Genomic DNA, 25201 nt, shown 5'->3' with positions numbered 1-25201 from the left:
TGAACCCAGGAGGTAGAGGTTGCGGTGAGCCAAGATCGTGCCATTGTATGCCAGCCTGGGCAACAAGAGCGAAACTTCGTCTCAATAATAATAATAATATTGTTGTTTTTAAAAAGTAGAATTTTAAAAAATATATAAAACGTTATTATTTATGACAGTCAACATCCTGTACAATAGATCACTAAAGCTTTTTCCTCTGATCTAACTGAAATTTTGTACCCTTCGATCAACATCTCCTTCTTCATCCACCCCCATTCCCCAGCCTCTGGTAACCACCATCTACTGTCTATTTGTATGAGTTCAACTTTTTAAGCTCCCACGTATGAGTGAAAACATGCAATATTTGCCTTTCTGTGCCTGGCTTATTTCACTTAGCATGGTGTCTTCCAAGTTCATCCATGTTGCCACAAATGACAGAATTTCTTTCTTTTTGAAGGCTGAATAATATTCCATTGTGGATACATACCACAGTTTCTTTTCCCATTCATCTGAAGATGGATTATTTAGGTTGCTTCCATATCTTGGCTATTTGGAATAATGCTGCAATGAACATGAGTAGAGGTATCTCTTCAGCATATGAATCTTAATTTCTTTGGATATATACTCAGTGGGACTGCCAGATCATATGGTAGCTCTGTTTTTAGTTTTCTGAGGGACCTCCATATTGTTTTGTAAAATGGCTATATAAATTTACACTCTCACCAACATAGAATTTTCTTTCTTTCTTTCTTTCTTTTTTTTTTTTTGAGATGGATTCTCACTCTCACCACACTGGAGTGCAGTGGTGGGATCTTGGCTCACTGCAACCTCTGCCTCCTGGGTTCAAGCGATTCTCCTGCCTCAGCTTCCAGAGTAGCTAGGATTACAGGCACCCGCCACCATGCCCAGCTAATTTTTGTATTTTTAGTAGAGACAGGGTTTCACCATGTTGGCCAGGCTGGTCTCAATCTCCTGACCTCATGATCCCTCCATCTCGGCCTCCCAAAGTGCTGGGATTACAGGCGTGAGCCACCACACCCAGCCAGTAGAATTTTCAATCAGATAAATGCCTGTGTGAAAATGCTCCAAAAAAATCTACAATGCATAGCCGGGAGCCTGAGAAAGTGACTATTTGTGGCTGTTCTCTGTCAAGTACAGGACACCAGCATCTGCACCTCTTCACAAGTTCATGCCCTCATGCTAAACAGTGAGCCCCTGGAGGCCCCTGAGACTTATCCATCCTGCATCCCTAGCTCTCAATACAGTGCCCAACAGACAGAAGCCATTTATTAACTATTCAAGTGCATGAATGGAAGCAGGATGAAGACCATTTGAGTCAACATGTTAAAGAATAATTTTAAGTTAAATAATCATTAAGTAGGTTAAAAACTAGCAGCCAAAGAAAAGAAACAAATTCTGTTTCTGATCCAGACCCCAGAACTAGCCCAGAGGCCAAATATATCATCTGGCTTCTCACTAGTTCCAAAGAGGCCCCACTGTTCATTTCTGCTCCCAGAGCAGAGGATCTTTACCTGTGGTCCACAGATGGAAACAGATGTCAAGGGGCTGAAGCAGTTTGACTAGTTGCTAAGTCTTTCATTTAAATCATTAATAAAGAAGCATATAAATAACTGTATTACAATCTTTAAAAATATGTTGATAATTATATTCCTATATAATTGTGTAATCCTATTTTATTATACACATTTAAAAGTAAATTTTGAGGTCGGGTGCGGTGGCTCACACCTGTAATCCCAGCACTTTGGGAGGCCAATGGAGGAGGATCACTTGAGGTCAGAAGTTCAAGACCAGCCTGGTCAACATGGTGAAACTCCGTCTCTACTAAAAATACAAAAAATTAGCCGGGCGTGGTGGCGCATGCCTGTAATCCCAGCTACTCAGGAGGTTGAGGCAGGAAAATCACTTGAGCCCGGGAGGCAGACTACGTCACTGCCCTCCAGCCTGGGCGACAGAGCGGGACTCCATCTCAAAAAATAATAATAAAAGTATATTTTGAGAAGCCAATCAAAGGCTTCCCCAGTTTGCCAAAGGGAACCATGGAATGAAAACAATGGAGAACTCCATGCCTGTAATCCCAATACTTTGAGAGATTGAGGCAGGAAGATCGCTTGAGGCCAGGAGTTCAAAACCAGCCTAGGCAACACAGTAAAACTTCATCTCTACAAAAAAAATTAAAAAATTAGCCAGGCATGGTGGCGCGCACCTGTAGTCTCAGCTACTTCTGAGGCTGAAGCAGGAGGACCACTTAAGCTCAGGAGTTTGTGGCCGCAATGAGCTATGGTCGCACCACTGTACTCCAGCCTGACTTTGTCTTAGAAAAACAAAAATGAAACCTGCCAGCTCTAGAGAGTATACAGGCAGACCTATTCCACTGGAAGACCTATTCCACTAGACCTAATAATCCTGTCAAGATGAAAATGGTTGATAAAGGATCTGTTGGGGGACTCTTGAGCAATCATGACCTCCTCTTCAGAGGTCACAACAGCGAGGAAGGTTAAGGCCTTCGTTGGATATACTCAAGATGTTTGATAGGCAAACATCAAAGAGAAGACAAGCATAATTCCAAAACAAGGCTGTAAAATAAAATAACCCGAGACAGTTAAGAAGTTCTGAAGATTAAGCAATCACAAATCATCTAAAGATAGGGGAAGAAACTAAGAAAACTAGACTGTCCTCCAAAGAATTTAATAAACACAGATATTAAACAGGAAATGAAAGAACATTTCCTCCCCAACTAGGCTAAAAGCTCTTTAAGGAAAGAAACTGAGTCTCACTCATCTTTGCATTCCCATGACCAAGTACTGTGTCTGACCTGCAGTAAGCCCTACATTTTAAATATAAAAGTAGCATAATCAGCCAGGCACGGTGGCTCACATCTGTAATCCCAGCACTTTGGGAGGCTGAGACAGGTGGATCACCTGAGGTCAGGAGTTTGAGACCAGCCTGGCCAACATGGTGAAACCCTGTCTCTACTAAAAATACAAAAATTAGCCAGGTGTGGTGGCACGCACCTGTAACCCCAGCTACTCGGAGGCTGAGGTGGGAGAATCACTTGAACCCGGGTGACGGAGGTTGCAGTGAGCCAAGATCGTGCCACTGCATTCCAGATTGGGTGACAGAGAGAGACTCCGTCTCAAAAAAAAAAAAACTAGCATAATCAGTGTTAACTATAAAAAAGTGGCATTCATCTGTAGGAAAAGCATCACCCATATATATAAAGTTCTAAGAGAGCCAAGAGCAGTGCCACATAACAATGCAGTAAAACATGAAGAAATATCTGGAATGGCAAGTCTGGAACAGCAATGACCTGTGGACTTGGTTCCATAGGCACTAGTTATGTTATCATGTACATTTGAAATATTTTATATAATAACTTTTTTTCTAATTTTAGAAGAAAATGAATAGACTGAGGATTTTTAAAATTCTGCTCAGCACTCAGCACATCAGGAAAAACAGACAATCCAGCTGGTTGTGGTGAGAGGAACAATGTCAGCCAGCTGTTTTTCAAAAGAACTCAAATCTTACTTCGCTTCTAACATTTCCAACAAGAAATATTTCTTTCATTCATTTAGCCACATAACACTTGGCATTTCCAGACTGCTTGCCATGTGCTAAGCACGGTGCTGGGGGTAAGGGGATGAGCAACACTGGCAAGGCTCCTGCCTAACCTTACATTCAAAGGGAAGAGGAGATGCAGATCAAAAACAAAGAAATAATACTCCTGTTTGCAAGGAGGGTCTTAGCAGACGTAAGCAAGTTAAAATAAGCTCATACTCAATTACGGTGGTCCCTAATCCAGTGGCTGTCATAAGAGGGAAATTTGGACACAGACACACACAGAACGAAGATGGCCATGTGAAGACGGACGTGAAGACTGGAGTTATGTTGCCACAAGCCAAGAAATGCCAAGGACTGCCAGCAACTATCGGAAGGCAGAAGAAAGGATTCTCCCCTTATTGGGAGGCATCGCCCTACCAACACCTTGGCTTTGGACTTCTAGCCTCTAGAACTGTGAGAAAATAATACTGCTGCTGTAAGCCTTCAAAAGTTTTTGATAGGTTGTTACAGCAGCCCTAGGAAACTACAGAAGCAGATGGCACTGCAAGAAGCTGGGACTAGGCTGGGTGTGGCAGCTCACACCTGTAATCCCAACACTTTGGGAGGCTGAGGCGGGAGGATCATGAGGTCAGGAGTTCGAGACCAGCCTGGCCAACGTGGTGAAACCCAGTCTATACTAAAAATACAAAAATTAGCCAGGCGTGGTGGCAGGCGCCTGTAATCCCAGCTAATCGGGAGGCTGAGGTAGGAGAATAGCTTGAAACCAGAAGGTGGAGGTTACAGAGAGTCGAGATCATGCCATTGCACTCCAGCCTGGGTGACAAGAGCGAAACTCCATCTCAAAAAAAAAAAAAAAAAAAAAAGGCTGGGACTGCAGATGGGAGAAGCAACTGGAAGTGGAAGGACCCCCTACAGCTTCTCAATCCTTGCTTTAGTTACTTGCAACTGAAAACAGCCCAACTAAGAGGGCCACCAAATGACTGCTGCCAAGCACTCCTGGATGAAGGACTTTTTACCATGGGTGGCACCCCACCCAGTGTTTGTCTCTGTTAGCACTTCTTGGCCAGGCGTGGTAGCTCACGTGTGTAATCTCAGCATTTTGGGAGGCCGAGGCAGGTGGATCACCTGAGGTCAGGAGTTCGAGACCAGCCTGGCCAACATGGCGAAACCCCATCTCTACTAAAAATACAAAAATTAGCTAGGCATGGTGGTGGGCACCTGTAATCCAGCTACTTAGGAGGCTGAGGCAGGAGAGTTGCTTAAAACCAGGAGACAAAGGTTACAGTGAGCCAAGATCACGTCATTGCACTCCAGCCTAGGCAACAGAGTGAGACTGTCTCAAAAAAAAAAAAAAAAAGAAAGAAAGAAAGAAGCACTTTTTGAGTCTGGAACAAAAATCTCTCAATCACATTCGGTGGATAATAAATCTACCCATTAGACCTATGTCTAACTTCCAGGACCACAGAAAATAAACACAAGCCATCACCTTCCTCATGCCAGCTTTTTAAACTCTTTAACGGACAGCTATCATATTTTCTTGAAATTTCTTTTTCTCTTTTTTGAGACAGGGTCTTGCTCTGTTGCCCAGGCTGGAATGCAGTGGTGTGATCACAGCTCACGGCAACCTCCACCTCCTGGGCTCAAGCAATCGTCCCACCTCAGCCTCCCGAGTAACTGGGACTACATGTGTGCACCATCACGCCCCGCTAATTTTTTGTAGAGACGGGGTTTTGCTATGTCGCCCAGGCTGGTCTCGAACTCCTAGGCTCAAGGGATCCTCCCACCTTGGCTTCCCAAAGTATTATGATTACAGGCATGAGCCACTGCACCTGGCCTGAACAGAGAATAGATGTAACCTGTCTTAAGAGAGATTTTCTGTTTGTTTTTTCACTTATTTAGGAAATCATGAAAATCTGTTTATTCAACCCACCAAAGTATGGCTAATAATATCCAACTGTTTGTGATTATGAATAATGATGACTATGTGAGAAACATAATCAGGACTACTTAGCATAGAGGTACCCGGGCAAGAACTAACCGTTTAGGGAATGCCCAAGCCTTTCTGTTAGTTTGTGATAACAGCATATGGGCTGTTACACAGTGTTGCACTTATGCTTTAGTGGGGCCCCTCTGGCTCTACACTGAGAACAGACTCAAGTGAAGCAAGGGTGGGCATGAGATGACCAGTTAGGAGGCTGTTCCAGAAATCCAGGCAAGAGATGCTGGTGCCTTGGACCTGGGTAATAGCGGTGGAGGTGATGAGAAGAAACAGGTGGTGAGAATCTGGTCTGCTTCTAGTTTTCTGACAGGTCTAGAGCAGGGCCAAGCAAGCTCTAGTCCACAGGCCAAATCTGGGCTACTGCCTGTTTTTGTAAGTGAAGTTTTACTGGAACACAGTTACACTTGCTCATTTACATATGTTCTATGGCTGCTTTTGTGCTACAGAAGCAGAGATAAACAGTTCTAACCTCACAGCCTCCAAAGCCAAAAATATTTACTATCTGGCCCTTAACAGAAAGAGTTTGCCAATCCAGGTCTAGAAAACATGAATTGTCATTTATTGAGATGGAAACCTGGGAGAAGATAAAATGTGAGGCAACAGCAAAGCTTGATTTGGGGCATGCTAGCTGTGACATGCCTGTTAGACATCCAAGCAGAGATGTCAGGTAAAGCGCTGGATGTGTCAATCTGAGGTTCAAGGAGCAGGTCCACGTTGGAGATAAAAGCTTAGGAATCATCAAATGAGGGTAATTAAAGCCAGGACACTGGATGACAACAGTAAGAGAATAAAGCTGGATGGAAAGGACAAGAGGTTAAATATTGAGCCCTTGAATCCTAACATTTAGAAGTCAGGGAAATGAAAAGGAACCAGGCAAAGAGTGAAGAAGGAACAGATACAGAGAATGCATGAAAACCAGGAGAATGTGCTGTTCTGGAAGCCAAAAGAAAAACGTGTTTCCAGGAGAAGTGGGTGAAAGCCATGTCTAATGAGGCTGATGGGTCAGACCAGACAGTGACTCAGAGCAACCACAGAGCAACCACGGGAACCCTCGCCTGACTGCAGTTGATTCAGCAAAGAGTGCAAGGGCAGAAGGGGATGGAGAGGACAGGCAACTCATTCCGGAAGTTCTGCTGCAAAGGTTTTGGTGCAGAGATGTGGGGGAGAAGCTGGCAGGGGGAATTAGATCAAGAGAGTTCCTTTTGTTCATTCCCATGATGGGAAAAGTAATGGCATTATATAGGCTGTTAAAAAAAAAAAGGCCATATGAGATGGAAAATCTGATGAAGCAAGAGAGAGAAAGGAACTGCTGGAGTGAAGGCTGAGTAACTGAAGGGAGATGGGATCTAGGGTCCAAGCTTCAACAGCAGCAGGGACAATTTGTGCATAACAAGAACCAGGCGCACATACAGGTAGGCAGATGGATGTGATGACTGAGGCTGATGGAGGTTCCCTGCCTAGGTTCTGCCTGCATCTGTTTTCTCAATGAAATATGAGGCCAGAGTTAGGTGTGGTGGCACATGCCTATAGTCCCAGCTACATGAGAGACTGAAGCAGACGGATCATCTGAGCCTGGGAGTTTTAAGCTGTAGTGCACTAGGATCACGCCTATGAACAGCCACCATGCTCCAGCCTGGGCAACCCAGTGAGACCTCATCTCCAAAAAAAAAAAAAAAAAAAAAAAATAGAAAGAAAGAAATGGGAAGCCAGGCCACTAGCTGAGAGAGTGAGCATGGAGAATGAGGTACTGCACACTCGAGAAGGTATGAAACAGATCAGCAGAGTGAGTGAACTGGGAAGCATGGTGCAACAGCCTGCCAGTATCAAGGGTCTACCCGAGTTTGTGATCATGAATTTGATGTTGTTGTTGTTGTTGTTGTTGTTTTTGAGACAGAATCTCACGCCATCACCAGGTTGGAGTGCAGTAGCGCAATCTTGGCTCATTGCAACCTCCACCTCCCGGGTTTAAGCAATTCTCATGCCTCAGCCTCTCTTGTAGTTGGAATTACAGGCAGGTAGCACCACACCCGGCTTTTTGTATTTTTTTTGTGAGACGGGCTTTCACCATGTTGGCTAGGCTGATCTCAAACTCCTGACCTCAACTGATCCACCCACCTTGGCTTCCCAAAGTGCTGGGATTACAGGCATGAGCAACCACACCCAGCCATGTAATCATGAATTCGAAATGAGACAGACATTTCAAAAGTTTTCAATTAGTTCAAATGGTTCTGAGTTTTTCTATAGCCTTATTCCAGTGTAGGTGGGGAATGGGATTTAACCAAGATCCTGGTTTAAATAAGCAAGTAAGACAAAGTGAGAGAGGTTCTCTCCAGGACAGATTCCAGCATTCCAGGTATGGCCTGACCAGGGTGAGGCAAAGAGCACTGTTGTCAGTACTGTGTCCAAGGAAAATCACATTTGGAATCCTGAACCCATCAATCCTACCAGAAGACCATCAGAGCTTCTCAGAGACATACAGAGGAAACATTATAGGCAAGGATCTTCTTTATTACTAACAGATGTTTTGGTTGAACCACATTAGGTATAAACATTTATATATATCTATAGTCTACACTGATACCTAACGAGAAGTACAGCAACAAAAACTCTGCAAATACTTTTAATTGACACGATTCTAGATCAAGAAGACAGATGATTCAGAAGGCTATCAAATTATTAGATGATATTATGATCAATGCAGTTCTCTTAGCACCCCCTTTACGCAACTAGAATCCTAATTATAAAATAGTAATTATTATTATATGACAATAATACTATATTTGATAGAAAAGTTCACAGACAAAAGAGAGATATTTTCAAATACACAGTATGAGAAATATCATTTCCCAACAAAGACAGTCCTGGATATCAAGCATCAGCTCATTTATTATAAAGAAATAAACTTTTACTTTTTAATGAGATAGTTCTAAACATCCTATCAGGTAGTTTTATCCTCTGAAAAGTTAAAGAAAAAGTTCTGTGCCAATGCAGAATGAAGACGAGGAAATCTGCAATTAGAGGTGTTCATTTTGACCATTATTTTAATCTTGCATTTTCAGATTATTTTATCTTAAAACCATCAACCAAATTCATAAAATCAGCAGAACCAAATTCAGTCTTAATCATCTTGTCATCAGAGATAATACCTAAACCTGTTTGAAAAAAAAAAAGATGGAAGTTATGGAAAGAAAAGCAATTGGTTTAACAGATTGCAATAAAAAAAAAAGCGATAACACAACACATTGCAATGATATTTAAACTACTGCTTGGAGGATTTTAAAGAGCTGATGTCTGCTTCATTTTAATCTGTTCTGGAAACATCACAACCATCAGCTTAACAAAAAGCTAAGAAGAATTACAAAAGAGTCCCAGGTATGAAGCTTGGGCTTACCTGATGCACCTATTGGGGAGGTAGCTGGGGTCATGTTGTGGACATTGAGACCAAGACTCTGAGAGGGTCCTGGGGCTGATGCCGCTATGGGAGGCCCCGGAGGGTTCTCCCTCTGGGGAGAGGTGAGTGGGGTGGTTGGCTGAGAGGTCTGTCCACCAGCAAGTCGTGCAAGGCGCCTCCGTCGAATCTACAACATGAGGGGAAAAGGGCATTCTATAACTAATCAGCAGAAACACAATTCTGCCAGAGAATGACATTATTCATAACCAAACCAGAGTTTAACAACTCAATATGCCTTCAGCAAAAGTACTCTTCTGAGAGAATAACTCGCTCTACCAGTATTCCTACAAGCTCTATCACTTGAGTTTTTAACAACTGTATTTTGGCCAGGTTCAGCGGTGCCTGCCTATAGTCTCAGCTACTTGGGAGGGTGAGGTGGGGGTAATCGCTTGAGCCTAGGAGTTCAAGACCAGCCTGAGCAAAGCAGTGACAACCCACCTCTAATTCATACATACATAAATACATACATAAATACGTATATACTGTATGTTAGTTCCCTTACCATCTCTGTTTATCACACCTCCTTGGCTGACATGGCGAATTTACGGTAAGCATATTACACTTCATTTTAGAGAGAGTCTCTCTGTCACCCAAGCTGGAGTGCAGTATTTCAATCATAGCTCACTGCAGCCTTGAACTCCTGGGCTCAAGTAATCTTCCCACCTCGGCCTCCTAAGTATCTAACACTACAGGTGCAAACCACCATGTCCAGCTAATTAATTTTTTTTAATTTTTGACAGAGACGAGGTCTCACTATGTTGCCCAGGCTGGTCTCAACCTCCTGGCCCCAAGTGATCCTCCCACCTTGGCCTCCCAGAGTACTAGGATTATGGGCATGAAGCACCATGCCCAGCCTATGCTTGTAACACACTAAAGCTTGTTGTTATTTTAATAAAATGACCTAACTTGGTCATTTCAAATAGGTAAGATTTAAAAATAAATAGCCAATTGGCCAGGTGTGGTGGCTCACGCCTGTAATCCCAGCACTCTGGGAGGCTGAGGCAGGAGGATCACGAGGTCAGGAGTTCGAGAACAGCCTGACCAACATGGTGAAATCCTGTCTCTACTAAAAATACAAAAATTAGCCAGGTGTGGTGATGCGTGCCTGTAATCCCAGCTACTGAGGCAGGAGAATCACTTGAACTCGGGAGGTGGAGGGCAATTGCAGTGAGCTGAGATGGCACCACTGCACTCTAGCCTGGGCAACAGAGGGAGACTCCACCTCCAAAATAAATTAATGAATAAATAGCCAATTTAATTCACTAAAACAATGAGAAACAAAAGTTACACTAAGACACAAATTTAACCATCACTTGTAGGAGCAAAATGATCAGATTTTCTTTTTTTACTTGATTCAATAAAAATACAATCTGCCACTTCTTCCTTTTAACATATAATTAAAGAGCAACATCTTATTGAAAGAGAAAAATTAATCCATTCATTCAAAATGTGTTTGTTGAACTCCTACTAACAGCAGGGCATCTCCAAAAGCTTCCTAACAGATTTACCCATGTCCCCTGAGCAAAAGAAGCCAGATGTAAAAAAAACAGAGTGGATGATTCCATTTCTATAAAATTTGAAAATAAGAAAAACTAAACTATACCATTAGTTTGGATAATGGTTATCCTTGGTGGGAAAGGGGCAGGAAGCAGCTCGGGAGAGGCAGGAGTGAGATTCTAGGGATCTGGTAATGGTTTTTTTTTTTTTTTTTTAATTTTAACTGGATACTAATGTCACAGCTATGTCCACTTTATGAAAACTCACTGGGTTGTATACTTACAACTATGAGTAATCAGTTCATGGGTATTCATCTTATTCTTCTTCATAGTTTATATGTTAAATATAGTCTTCTGTGTAGCATGTAATTTTTTTTTTTTTCTGAGACGGAGTTTCGCTCTTGTCACCCAGGCTGGAGTACAATGGCACCATCTCGGCTCACTGCAACCTCCCCCTCCCAGGTTCATGCGATTCTCCTGTCTCAGCCTCCCAAGTAGCTGGGACTACAGGCATGCACCACCACACCCACCTAATTTTTAATTTTTTGTAGACATGGCATCTCACCATGTTGCCCAGGCTGGTCTCAAATTCCTGGGCTCAAACAATCCTTCCACCTCGGCCCCCCAAAGTGCTGGGATTACAAGTGTGAGCCACCATGCCGGGCCAAGTTTCATTATCTTACAGACAGCTAAATTTAGGAGTTCATGCTTGATTTCTAATTCAAATTCAACCTTTATTACTGACTACTTTACTTATCTGGAGCCTATCCAGATAAGTCACTTAACAGCTCTCTGCTTCAGTTTCTGCACAATGGACATCCGTACACTGCACATCTGTACAATGGGGATGAAATCATCGGCCGAGGGGAGTCCGAGGCGGTGGATCATTTGAGGTCTGGAGTTCGAGACCAGCCTGGCCAACACGGCAAAACCCTGTCTCTACTAAAAATACAAAGATCAGCCAGGCATGGTGCCACACACCTGCAATCCCAGCTACTTGGGAGGCTGAGGCAGGAGAATCGCTTGAACCTGGGAGGCGGAGGTTGCAGTGAGCCAATATCGCACCGCTGCACTCCAGCCTGGGCGATGAAGTGAGACTCCGTCTCAAAAAAATAAGAAAAAAACCAGTATCTTCCTTACAGGGTTGTGAGAAAACCACCACCCTGTCCCTTTCCCTACTTATTTTTTCTCCGTGGCTCTGATCTGCCCTATGACATGTGTGATATATTTATTTGTGTATTGCTTAGTTACCATCCCCCTAATTGAAGTTTCTTAAAAGCAAGAACTTCCGTTGCACCAGTGCCTAGAACAGTGTCTGACACATGGTAGGTACTCTCTAAATATCTGCTGAATAAATGAGAAATACTAGAAAAATGCACTGAACATAAAATTGACTAATTTATTAGTTGACGTTATCATTATCATTGGAAGAGCATACCCACTATTGTTGGAAAAAATATGAAGTCACCTTAAACCTCAATGCCAAGTTCAGCCCAAGATGTTAAATTCAGATGTTCTACTCAGTGATATAAACAGAGAATAAATGTTCTGACTCACTATAATATGCGGTTGAAGAAAGAAAGGATTCTAAGGTTTCAAAAAAGGTTGAAGAATCAAGACTTTGTGAAGCATGTTGCAGACTATTAAGCAGGAAGAAAGAGTTAAGAGACAGAGGCAGGTCCATACATGACAGAAGGAGTAGGAGAAGATTGGGAGAATACATTTTGCCCCATCTTAAAGATCCGCTGGAAAATTTAGGAAGAGCCATGCAGGGGGCAGCGTTCTGGGCTGCCCACAGCAGGGCTCTCAGTAGAGGATAATGCCCTTGGGTGGTCTGAATGCCTTCTACACTGGTGTTAACTTTGAACTGGTTTAGCAACCTGAGGCCCTGGGAATATCTGGATAGGGGACTCACAAGAGAATGGCTTTGTGCAATCACAGGTATAAAGGTTTACCTCCAGCCTGGGCAACATGGAGAAACACCGGCTCTACTAAAAATACAAAAACTGGCCGGGCACAGTGGCTCATGCCTGTAATCCCAGCACTTTGGGAGGCCAAGGCAGGCAGATGGCCCGAGGTCAGGAGTTCGAGACCAGCCCGACTAACACGGGGAAACCCCATCTCTACTAAAAATACCAAAAATTAGCCAGGTATGGTGGCACGCGCCCATAATCCCAGCTACTGAGGAGGCCGCGGCAGGAGAATCACTTCAACCCGGGAGGAGGAGGTCACAGTGAGCTGAGATCGCACCACTGCACTCCAGCCTGGGCAACAGAGCGAGACTCCTGCTCAAAAAAAAAAAAGAAAAAGAAAAAAGAAAAGAAAACTGTGCCAGGTGCAGTGGCTCATGCTCGTAATCCCAGCATTTTGGGAGGCCAAGGTAGGTGGGATCACTTCATGTCAGGAGTTTGAGACCGGCCTGGCCAGCATACTGAAACCTCATCTCTACTAAAAATACAAAAATTAGCCAGGTGTGGTGGTAGGCACCTGTAATCCCAGGTACTTGGGAGGCTGAGGCAGGAGAATCACTTGAACCCAGGAGGCGGAGGTTGCAGTGAGCCAAGATTGTGCCACTGCACTCCAACCTGGGCAACAGAGCAAGACTCCATCTTAAAAAAAAAAAAAAAAACTGGCCAGGCATGATGGCTCACCCCTGTAATCCCAGCACTTTGGGAGGCTGAGGTGGGCGGATCACAAGGTCAGGAGATCGAGACCATCCTGGTTAACACGGTGAAACCCTGTCTCTACTAAAAATACAAAAAAATTAGCCAGGCATGGTGGTGGCCACCTGTAGTCCAAGCTACTCGGGAAGCTGAGGCAGGAGAATGGCGTGAACCCAGGAGGCGGAGCTTGCAGTGAGCTGAGATCACGCCATTGCACTCCAGCCTGGGCCATAGAGTGAGACTCCATCTCAACAACAACAACAACAAATACTGAGATGGGAGGATCACCTGAGTCTGGGAAGGTCAAGGCTGCAGAGAGCCATAAAATCCAGTCTGTGCAACCCGGTGAGAGCCGGGTCTCAAAAAAAAAAAAAAGTGTATCTAATTAATTTGACTACTAAGAGATGCAACCTCACTTTTTATCACAAACAGAACATATGAGATACACACCAAAAAATAGTCACAACACACCAAAATATGATTAAACATTTTTCTCATTGTTTACTTGACTTTTTTAACATTAACCCAAAGGACTGGCATAATCTCCTTTAAGTTAAACAAAAGTCCTTTTTTAAGAGAATTTTGTTTTCCCCTATCTCACAGAGAAAAAAAAAAGTATAAAGAACTTCCAATTCCTCAATTTGTGTCCTAAACCACAACTCAAAGCCACACATACTAATCATGAAATCTCATTCCTAGAGTTTTTCTTGTCTGTTTCAGTTCTTATTTCACAAACGACATTAAAATAGGGCTTTCTCCTAATCTGTTATATGACGCAGCACTTCCCACCCTCACGTTCCTGATGAACTAAAAATAGATTCAAAACAGTGAAGGCCATTGTGATTGCAGGCAGAAGCTAAGACAGGATGGGCCAAACTGTTCCTCTTATTTTTAGCAGTTTGTGGGGAAAAACACCCACAAAACACTGTTATAAGTTTAATAAACAGTCATTCTACAAAAGTGTCTTACTTTTCTACTTTAAAAAAAAGTGAATTCCAATATAAAGAAAAATAATTGGAAATACTTTCTCTTTGGGGTAGTCTCCTTGGAAAGATGACAATAACTCCTAGTTCTGTTTTGGTTTTTTTTTGAGACGGAGTCTTGCTCTGTCACCCAGGTTGGAGTGCGGTAGCGTGATCTTGGCTCACTGCAACCTCTGCCTCCCGGGTTCATGCCATTCTCCTGTCTCAGCCTCCCGAGTAGCTGGGACTACAGGCGCCTGCCAAAATGCCTGGCTAATTTTTGTATTTTTAGTAGAGTCGAGGTTTCACCTTGTTGGTCAGGCTGGTCTCAAACTCCTGACCTCAGGTTATCTACCTGCCTCAGCCTCCCAAAGTGCTGGGATTACAAGCGTGAGCCACCTGCCTGGCCAATAACTCCTAGTATTATTATTGGTTTTATTTTCTTTTTTCACAGCTGGCCATGTTTGAAACTTATTAAATGCTATGACAATTTCACAGTAGGCCTAATCTAAGCCCAACAATGTTTCTCCAAAAAATGCATTTACATCCAAACATCACAGCTCTGTGATCTAAAATTCATCAGTTTCCTTAAAAAAAAAATTCATGGTCAGATGTGGTGGCTCACACCTGTAATCTCAGCACTCTGGGAGGCTGAGGCAGGGGGATCACTTGAGCCCACAAGTTCAAAACCAGCCTGGGGAACATGGCAAGACCCCCTCCCCCCCCAATCCCACAAAAAATAAAAAATTAGCTGGGCATGGTGGCACACACGATGTGTAGTGCCAGCTACTAGGGAGACTGAGGCAGGAGGTCAAGGCTGAAGCGAGCTATGATTATACCACTGCACTCCAGCCGGGGTGTCAGAGTGAGACCCTGCCTCTAAATAGAAACAAAAGGGAAGGAAGGTAGGAAGGGAGAGAGGGAGGGAGGTACAAAGGGAGGGAGGTACGAAGGTAGAGAGGGAGAGAGGGAAGGAGTGGGGGAGGGAAGGAGGGGGGGAGGGAGGGAGGGGAACAATGATATATGTTATATTCACTTCGATATCTACTGCTTTTAAAATGAGGCATATTTTTATGTTATGTGTATTTTCCATTTTTTAAAAAATTGAATTGAAAAAGCCGGTTGCAAAAGGGTACACATAATGATTCCATTTATTTTTTAAAAGGATGTAGATTTACATTATAATGAACATTATTATTAGTGCAAATTATACATAAATGCAAATGGCAATGACACAGTAAATTTCCATTTTTCCTCATCTTTCTTCTTTCACAGAATTTCTGATGAAAAGAATGAAAACCATTATTATTTCCCACTACATCTACCGTGGGAAAACATTCAGATGAAAGTGTAGCCCTGCTCCATAACGTCTTCACTCCAAGACCCAGGGTGAAAGAGCAGCCTCTAATGGGAACACTAGCAATCGCCCAGGCAAAGGGCAAGAGGCAGAGCAAACTCCACACTGGCCCAGCGGTGACACATTCAATTGTGTTCACATTTAACTGGCCAAAACAGTCACAGGGCCGAAACTACCCCTGCAGCGTGGGGAAATAGAACCTTCCCCAGACAGGGGTGGTGAATATGTGGACAACAATACAGTGAAGTACAGCGGTCTCCTCTTCCTTCAACACACAGCTGGGCACTGGTGGTTGCTTATTGTGGAGCTGTGCCTTCCTCCCCCGCATGCTCCTCCCGCCACTTGCCCCATAACTGCTCTATATCCTGCTCCCTGACCTGGATCTTTGCTCAAATGTTACCTTCTCAATGAAGCCTTCCCTTCCTTCCTCCTAGTTCCCATCTGCTTTAGTGGTTCTCCATACTTTCAAATAGTTCAGCCAAAACCAACAAGTATGTGTGGGTGTATAGATGTATATACACACATTTATATACAGACAAAGTGAATGTAACAAAAAATAAACTGATGAATCTAGGTGAGTCATTCAAATTTTCTGCAGATTTAAAAATTTTTAGGGCCAGGCGCGGTGGCTCACACCTTTAATCCCAGCACTTTGGGAGGCCAGGCGGGTGGATCACTTGAGGTCAGGAGTTCAAGACCAGTCTGGTCAACATGGTGAAACCTCACCTCTATCAAAAATACAAAAATTAGCTGGGCATGGCAGCGGGCACCTGTAACCCCAGCTACTCAGGAGGCTGAGGCAGGAGAATTGCTTGAACCCGGGAGGTGGAGGCTGCAGTGAGCAGAGATTGCACCATTGCACTCCAGCCTGGGCAACACAGTGAGACTCTATCTAAAAAAAAAAAAAAAAGTCCAGAATAGAAAGTTGAGGGAAAAGTTAGACCCACCAGCATGGCTTTTGTTTTTTTCTCTAGCCATGTACAGCAGTACACAGTAGGCACAGAGATGGACTAGCCAGGGCTGTTGAGAGAGGAAAAGGAAGTGACAAAGAGACGAGGTGATAGAGAGTGGAACTGAAGGGTAATGATAATGATGCAGACACAGGAAGCCCTGGCAGCACCTGGATTCTTGATTCCAGTCTCTTCCTGTGACCCAGCTATCTTTCTATCCCTAGGTTCAGAAAGAAGACTCCTGTATCCTTAAAATAAATCCCATTTTTGGCTTAAGCTCAATAAGATGTTCTATTACTTACTGCACGTATGCATAGAAATACTACAATTCCTCGGAGATGCGATCAGCAGTTTGCTTGTGCATAGAGTATCACCTTTTTTTCACCATCTTATATTAGGTTTTCAGGATTCAAATTCATTTACACTAACTGTATATTCATGTAATAACTGAATCATCCCAGAGAGCAATTTTGAAAATCGAACCACATACAAATGCTATGTGCTTACTACTTGACTTAAGTTTCTTTTTCAGGACAGGTAGGGGTTAGGCAGACGAGGAACAAAGGAGCGCCGGCAGAGATTGGGAGGCTTTGTGAGCACACACACTGTTTAGGGAACGCTGAGTAGTTGGTAAGAATGAGTGTGTATGGACATGGTGAGGCACAGACAAGAAAGACAAGCTGCAACAAGCTCATGACGAGCTGTGAATACCATCCTAAGACACTGAACTTGTTCGTGAAGGCAAGAAAGACATCTTTTGAAGGATTTAAGCAGGGGAATAACCAGGTAAGATGTACTTTTCTTTTTTTTTTTTTTCATTGAGACAGTTTCATTTTTGTTGCCCAGGCTGAAGTGCAATGGCATGGTCTCGGCTCATTGCAACCTCTGCCTCCCTGGTTCAAGCGATTCTCCTGCCTCAGCCTCCTGAGTGGCTGGGATTACAGGCACCCGCCACCACACCCAGCTAATTTTTGTATTTTTAGTAGAGACGGGGTTTCACCATGTTGGCCAGGCTGGTCTCAAACTCCTGACGACCTCAAGTGATCCGCCTGACTTGGCCTCCCAAAGTGTTGGAATTACAGGCATTAGCCACCTCACCCGGCCCAGATGTACCTTTTAAAACAAATCACTCTAGCTACTGTGTGGAGAACGAATGGAGGCAGGCCACAAGCAAGCCTGCGCAATGGGCATAGGAAAGGGACAGCTCTGGAGATACTTGATCTGTGTTCCCAACAGAACTTGGCTGTTATTTGGAAGTAAAAAGTGAGGAAGAAGAATAATCTAGATTTCAGGCCTGGATACCTAAATGAATGGTAAAATACCCTAAAATTGAAAATACAGAAGGAGATTTTAAGAAGATGGGTTATGATTAGATTACTGAGTGTGAGGTACCTGGAAGAATACCCAACCAAAAATGTCCTACAGGTTGCCGACATCTGTTTTGTTTTTGTTTTTTTGAGATAGGGTCTCACTCTCTATCACCCAGGCGGGAGTGCAGAGGCACGGTTTCAGCTCACTGCAACCTCTGCCTCCTGGGTTCAAGCGATCCTCCTGCCTCAGCCTCCCCAGTGGCTGGGACTACAGGCATGCGCCACCACACCCAGCTAATTTTTGTATTTTTATTAGAGACGGGGTTTCACCATGTTGGCCAGGCTGGTTTCGAATTCCTGACCTCAGGTGATCCCCCTGCCTTGGCCTCCCAAAGTATGCCCAGCCCCAACATCTGTTTTATTCGCCATCACTATTTTCTTTTTCTTTTTTTTTTTTTTTGAGACGGAGTTTCACTCTTGTTTCCCAGGCTGGAGTGCAATGGTGCAATCTCGGATCACTGCAACCTCCGCCTCCCAGGTACAAGCCATTCTCCTGCCTCAGCCTCCCGAGTCGCTGGGATTACAGGCATGTGCCACCACACCCGGCTAATTTTGTATTTTTAGTAAAGATGGGGTTTGGCCATGTTGGTCAGGCTGGTCTTGAACTCCTGACCTCAGGTGATCCACTTGCCTCACTCACCCAAAATGCTGGGATTACAGGCGTGAGCCACCGCACCTGGCCTCACTATCATTATTTTCTTGTTCTAGGAAAGATTTAAAGTGATTAACAAAAAATGCATTAAGGCGGCCGGTACAGCGGCTTACGCCTGCAGCCCCAACACTTTGGGAGCCAAGGTGGGCAGACCTCCTGAGGTCAGGAGTTCGAGACCAGCCTCGCCAAAATGGCAAAACCTCGTCTCTACTAAAAATACAAAAATTAGCTGGGTATGGTGGCTCATGCCTATAATCCCAGCTACTCGGGAGGCTGAGGAAGAAAAATCCCTTAAACCCAGGAGGTGAAGGTTGCAGTGAGCCAGGATCGTGCCATGGCACTCCAGCCTGGGCGACAGAGCGAGACTCCACCTCAAAAGAAACAAACAAAAAAACACACATCGAATGTATTTTTAATTTAACTTAATTAAATTAACAAGTTTAATTCAAAGAGATAAGGAAATTAGGACACAAGCAAAATGATGGTAGAAAAAATAGGGCCGGGTGTGGTGGCTCAGGCCTGTAATCCCAACACTTTGGGAGGCCGAGGTGGGTGGATCACGAGGTCAAGAAATCGAGACCATCCTGGCCAACATGGTGAAACACCGTCTCTACTAAAAATACAAAAATTAGCTGGGTGTGGTGGTGCCCGCCTGTAATCCCAGATACTCAGGAAGCTGAGGCAGAAGAAAAGCTTTAACCCAGGAGGCGGAGGTTGCAGTGAGCCAAGATCGCGCCACTGCACTCCAGCCTGGCAACAGAGCGAGACCTCGTCTCAAAAAAAAAAAAAAAAGAAAAAAGAAGATAAAGCCAGGAGTGAGATCAGCACACACTACACACGTATAGCAACACAGTAAGTAACTGACAACACTCCTCAACATCAGCAGATGCTTAATGGCAAAACAAGATTCAAAGGAAAAAGTTTGAGAGTAGCCCAAATGAAGAGATCCAAGCATCAGCTTTGCTGGTGCGGCTTGATTTCTGGGTAGAGTTGAGAATACCTGGGGCAGGGGTCCAAATCCTGGGACCCATGAAGGCCAGGAGGACCTTCAATTCCCTCAAGATTTTCAAGGAGATCCCTTACCCCAAAAAATCTTAAAAGATGACTCTCCCAGGCAATGCCCTTCACTCAATCCTCCATAAAAACTTGCTCAGGGCCAAGTGCGGTGGCTCACCCCTGTAATACCAGCACTTTGGGAAGCAGGCGGATTACCTGAGGCCAGGAGTTCCAGACTAGTCTGGTCAAGATGGTGAAACCCCGTCTCTAATAAAAAATATAAAAGATTAGCTGGGCGTGGTGGTGCATGCCTGTAATCCCAGCTACTTGGTAGGCTGAGGCAGGAGAATTGCTTAAACCCAGGAAACGGAGGTTGTAGTGGGCCAAAATCATGCCACTTGCACTCCAGCCTGGGTGACAGGGACTCTGTCTCACAAAAAAACAAACAAACTTGTTTTGCACAATTACAGAAATGTGGCCAGTTGTCTGTTCCTCTCTTCTGATAGCTCCCTTTTACACCTCGTTATTAAAGGGTGGATTCCAGTACTACAAATTCTACAAGTAAGTATGCCGTAGGTTTGCAGTATGCTGCATTAATGCATCTCATTTATATCTTGTTGTCTTTTGAGATAAAAAAAAAAACAGAAAACAGAAGGTGGAAACAAACTCTTGCGGTGGCTTACACCTGTAATCCTAGCATTTTGGGAAGCCAAGGTGGGAGGATCATTTGAGGCCAGGAGCTCAAGACCGGCCTGAGCAGCATAGTAAGATGACTTCTCTACAAAAAAATTTTAAAAATTAGCTGGGCATGGTGGCACGTGCCTGTAGTCGTAACTACTCAGGAGGCTGAGGCAGGAGGATCACTTGAGCCTAGTGAGCTACAATTGCACCACTGCACTCTAGCCTAGGCAACAGAGTGAGACTGGCTCCAAAAAAAAAAAAATTGTCCAGAATCTCACTAGCTCACTAGGGATTCTAAAATACACAGCAAAATGAACCTCTACCGTTAGAAGTCAAGGTGTTAAAGAATGGCTTATTTTCTGATGACCACACTTAGGAGTACTTCAATGGCTACTAGAACCCCAGAAAGGTTTTTATTTTCTTTTGTTTTGTTTTGGTAAAGGAAAATGCCATACATAAACATTCAGGACTCATCCGAACCTTCTGGAACCAGCTCTCCTGGGGAAGTCAGAGAGGAAATACAGTCATGGGCTGCATAACGACATTTCAGTCAATGTCAGATCACCAGATCTTACTGGTGGTCCGGTAAGATTATAATACCATATTTTTACTGTTCCTTTTCTATGTTTAGATACACAAAAACTCACTGTTATTGTACAACTGCCCACAGGATTCAGTATAGTTACATGCAGTACAGGTTTGTAGCCCAGGAGCAATACCTAGGCCATACCGTAAGTATCCAAGGAGTTATACTATAGAGCCTACGTGTGGAATAGGCTATGCCATCTAAGTTTGTGTAACTATACCCTATAGTGTTCACATAATGATGCGTTTCTCAGAACGTATCCCTGTCATTAAGTGATGCATGACTGTAGTTGCTTGTTTTAAATCACCATGTAGGTTACATTCATCTACCCCCAACCTTTCCCAACCCCCTCCACACACACACAGGGACCTGACGACTGAATAGAACAGGACTGGCTCCCAGGAATACAAACAGGCTCTCTTGCTTCTCCTCATTGGTCATGCCTTAGCATGGTTCCTCCACATCCCCTACTCAAGCAGGGTCTTAGTAAACAAGTAAACAAAGCACTAGCAAAGACCCCAGAGTTGCCACCCCTCAGCTCTCCTGGGTAGAAGAAGCCTTCCCTTGGCTTGGGCTGAAGACCTATGCCCCAGAGGTGCCATTCTGATTGTGTGAAAGGAGTGGAAAAAAAAATGCCTAAAATTAAAATGGGAGCCTCCAGATACGCTCAACAACTTCGGATGCCTACAGCTGTGGTCACTGTGACACGTGGAGGTGAGAGGCATAGAGGAATGGGGCAGACTGGGAGGGTGTTGTCAGGATAGGGATCGGCTGCCGCCCTTCACGCCTCGGCCTTGCCCTAAGCAGCCACGCTTCCATGGCTTTATGCACAGCCTCTTCGTCTCCTGGGAACTGCATGAGCTCAATGGGCTTCAAGCTCCTCCTGTTCAATTCATAGACAATGGGAATACCAGTGGGCAGGCTCAGCTCCATGATGGCCCCTTCCGGGAGAGCCTCCCAAGGCTCGACTGTGCCAGAAAAGCTGCTGCCAGGAGCCTCAACCAACACCTGTTTCCCCTCCTGGATCTGGGGAATTATTTCTTCATTCCAAAAGGGCAGAGCTCTGACAATAGTGTCCTTCAGACTCTTACAGAAGAGCAGGTGCCCTACAGTGTAGTCTGCCCACCAGCAATCCTTGCTGCTGTTGCTGTATAATAAATGTTCAGCTCCATCAGAGGCATCAAGATCTTTTTGTTGTTGCTGTTGTTTTTAAGACGGAGTCTCGCTCTGTCCCCCAGGGCTGGAATGCAATGGCGCAATCTTGGCTCACCACAAGCTCCACCTCCCATGTTCACGCCATTCTCCTGCCTCAGCCTCCCAAGTAGCTGGGACTACAGGCGCCCACCGCCACACCTGGCTAACTTTTTGCATTTTAGTAGAGAGGGGGTTTCACCATGTTGGCCAGGTGATCCGTGATCCGCCCGCCCCGGCCTCCCAAAGTGCTGGGATTACAGGCACAAGCTACCGCGCCCAGCCGGCATGCAGATCTTTATCTGGCCCTCATGGTTCTTGACAACAGCTTCTGCTTTGTTGAGGCCAGTCAGACCCTTATAGTGCCACTCCAGGAGGTGCACCAAGTCATCACTACTGGGAGCCACATCTGGTCAGTGGCATCCAATACTGTCCAGGGGGTCGGCATTGCTGTCTTCCGCCCTGAGGTGACACAGATGTCAAAATCACAGCCAGCATTTCTCAGTGCCTCCCAGAAGGCTCAGGTCAGTGTCACACCAGCCGCTGAAGTGCTTCTCCAGGTGCCAGGCACCCTTGCCCACCTGCAGGCGGCAGCTGGTGGGCTCAGGATGCAGCACTGACTGTGGTCACTGTGATTCCAGAGTCCCCACTGCCTGGCTCCCAGTGCACACCACTCCCCCAGCTCTGTACCCCATGCCCAGCTTCTAGTGCCCCTGGCCCACCACCCAGCACCCCATGCCTCACTGCCTGGCTCCTGTGCACTTTCTCCAGCACAAGTTTTAACACATATAAACCTAACAGCTCAGTGAGGCCAGCTTCCCTAAGTCTGCACTAACAAGTAAAGTACCAAGGCTTCCAAGCAATAGAGAAATGTTACAGGATGAATATGACAGAGTGGAAACAGACGGGGGTAGAATGGCACGGTCACCCTGCAATCTCATTTTTCCAATCATTTTCTGCTTCACTTTCCAGGTTACTTATCCAACTCAAAAAATGTTTACTCAACAGTTACAAAAAGCTTGATTGATTAACCACATTTCTTCTCCAAAGAATATCATGACTATGTCCAGGACTTACTCCCAAATCAAAACCCTAAAGTATCTAGTGCTTTTACCCAAGCACTCCGCTACAGCTCAAACACGTCACCTCTAGAAGGGGATCATCCATGTCGGCTCCTGGCCTCAGCCCAGGGTACTCCTGGCACTCCCACTTTAATTGTAACAGAGACCCTTTTACTCTCACAAGAGTCCTTGTGTGGACATGACCTGAGAAGGTCACCCCACATCCGACAGTCCAGCTGTTCCTTCTCCTCTCTTTACCTACATACCCTCCACTGCCTCCCATGCTTGCTTCCCTGCCACCGGAATGCAGGCAAGGCAAGTCACCTTCCTCCTCCTTGAGAACTTTCCCAGGTGAGTAAATATCTCAAAAATAAAGCACAAAATACTTACAAAGGCCAACTTCTAGCAATTACTAGCAAAATACATTTTTCTTTTTTCTTTCTTTTTTTTTTTTTTCTGTGAGACAGGGTCTTGTTCTGTCAGCCAGGTTGGAGTACAGTAACACGATTTCAACTCACTGCAGCCTCAACCTCCCTGGGGAGGACTGCTTGAGCTCAGCAGTTAGAAACCAGCCTGGGGAACACAGCAAGACTCCATCTCTAAAAAAAAATCAAAAAATTAGCCTGGCATGGTGGTGTGTGCCTACTCAGGAGGCTCAGGCAGGAGAAGCGCTTGAGTGCAGTAGTTTGGGGCTGCAGTGAGTCATGATCACGCCACTGCACTCCAGCCTGGGCAACAGACACTCTGTCTCAAAAAAAAAAAAAAAAAAGAGAAAAGACTGTAAATGGTATTTTCTCAGGGAGAAAAAAAAGGTTGCGACCCTTTAATTCTCCAAAGCCAGGCAGTAATTATATCTTTTTTAAAATACAAGGAATTTTATAAACTGTAACAAAAATTGTTAATTGTGTTTTTTGCATCTAATTGATAACATGAAGAACGTTAAACACGCCTAACCCCATTCTGCCAGCTGGTGAGAACTAAGGACCAAAGGCATAAAACTGCCTAATTAAAGTGTTTTCTTAAGTCACCCATAATACTTAAAATATTAATATTATTACTTCAAATTAGAATAATAAGGGGCCAGGTGTGGTGGCTCACACCTGTAATCCCAGCATTTTGGAAGGCTGAGGCGGGCCAATCACCAGAGCCCAGGAATTCAAGATCAGTGTGGCAAAACCCCATCTCTACAGAAAAAAAAAAATACAAAAATGAGCCAGGTGTGGTGGCACATGCCTGTAGTCCCAGCTACTCAGGAGGCTGAGGTGGGCTGGGGAGGCTGAGGCTGCAGTGAGCCATGAATGTGCCACTGCACTCCAGCCTGGGTGGCAGAGTGAGGCCTTGTCTCATGAATAAATGAATGAAGCAGTCCACCTGAAAGTGAAACAGAGACCAGACCATGTGCAATGGGTGAGTGAAGTGCTACCCCAGGCCCCATCTTCTCAAGCCCTCTACACAATGAGCAATCGCGTAGCTAGCGCTGGCCAGGATCCCAGCTGCACCTGTTTCCAGCTGGGTTATCTCTCTGAGCCTCGATTTCCCCATTTATAAGAAAGTGACAAAATATTTCTTATCTTATAAAATAGTCATCAGAAATAAAGGTAATATAACAAACAACTAGAATTAGTATGTATTTATCAGCTTATAGTTTATCCCCACCCAGTACAATACAAGCTCCAAGAGAGCAGGGATTTGGTCTAGTTTATTCACCGCTGTATTCCCAGCAACTATGACAGTACCTAACTCCCAGAGAGCACTCGGTAAATATTTGCTGAACAAATGAAAAGTGTTTACTTGACACACAGTAAATAGTCTTTTTTAAAAAAATAATTTCAGCCTAGCAGTTTTCTCCATCCCTTTGCTCTTTTAATCTTCCTCTTAGGCTCAGTTTCCCCTTTGTGTAGGGTTCTGCTTTATCTAAATAATACGAGTGTGTACAAAAGCACTAAAAAGCATCTCACGTGTCATCTAATTGTGAAATTAGGAGCAAGAGAAACCAAAAAGATCAAGAGCCTAAAACTGCCAAACATTACATGGCAGAGAAACATGCTGAGTGTAGAATAATTTTAACTGCATTCTGTTATTTAAAGAAGGTTTCCTGCTGCAGAAACTTTATGCCCTTTATAACCAAAAACATCCCAGGGGATAGAAGTGGATGGTATGGTCTCCATTCTCATCTTTGATCCTACTTGGTTCAACAGACAAGATTAACGTAGATGACTAAGCATCTA

General features: G+C 44.4%; 1 protein-coding gene and 1 pseudogene across 6 annotated transcripts in view, besides 1 other annotated feature; both read right to left on the bottom strand.

Annotated features, from left to right (window-relative positions):
• Positions 1 to 25201, bottom strand: part of UBE4B (ubiquitination factor E4B) — a 148282-nt gene that overhangs the window by 100077 nt on the left and 23004 nt on the right. For all 6 annotated transcript variants that reach the window (NM_001410744.1, NM_001105562.3, NM_006048.5 and 3 more), the window contains exon 2: positions 8949 to 9135. In NM_001410744.1, the coding sequence (NP_001397673.1) occupies positions 8949 to 9135 (187 nt within the window). The remainder of the gene's footprint in view (positions 1 to 8948; positions 9136 to 25201) is intronic.
• Positions 21034 to 21964: an enhancer, noted in NCBI's record as "H3K27ac-H3K4me1 hESC enhancer chr1:10119257-10120187 (GRCh37/hg19 assembly coordinates)". NCBI's record gives its function as "activates a minimal SCP1, AML or CMV promoter by ChIP-STARR-seq in primed H9 embryonic stem cells {active_cell/tissue: H9 hESC(primed)}" and the evidence as "EXISTENCE:reporter gene assay evidence [ECO:0000049][PMID:30033119]".
• Positions 21509 to 22490, bottom strand: PGAM1P11 (phosphoglycerate mutase 1 pseudogene 11; annotated as a pseudogene).

This window comes from Homo sapiens, chromosome 1, assembly GCF_000001405.40.
Source record: "Homo sapiens chromosome 1, GRCh38.p14 Primary Assembly".
Classification (NCBI taxonomy): domain Eukaryota; kingdom Metazoa; phylum Chordata; class Mammalia; order Primates; family Hominidae; genus Homo; species Homo sapiens.
This window is presented reverse-complemented; position numbering and strand designations above follow the sequence as displayed.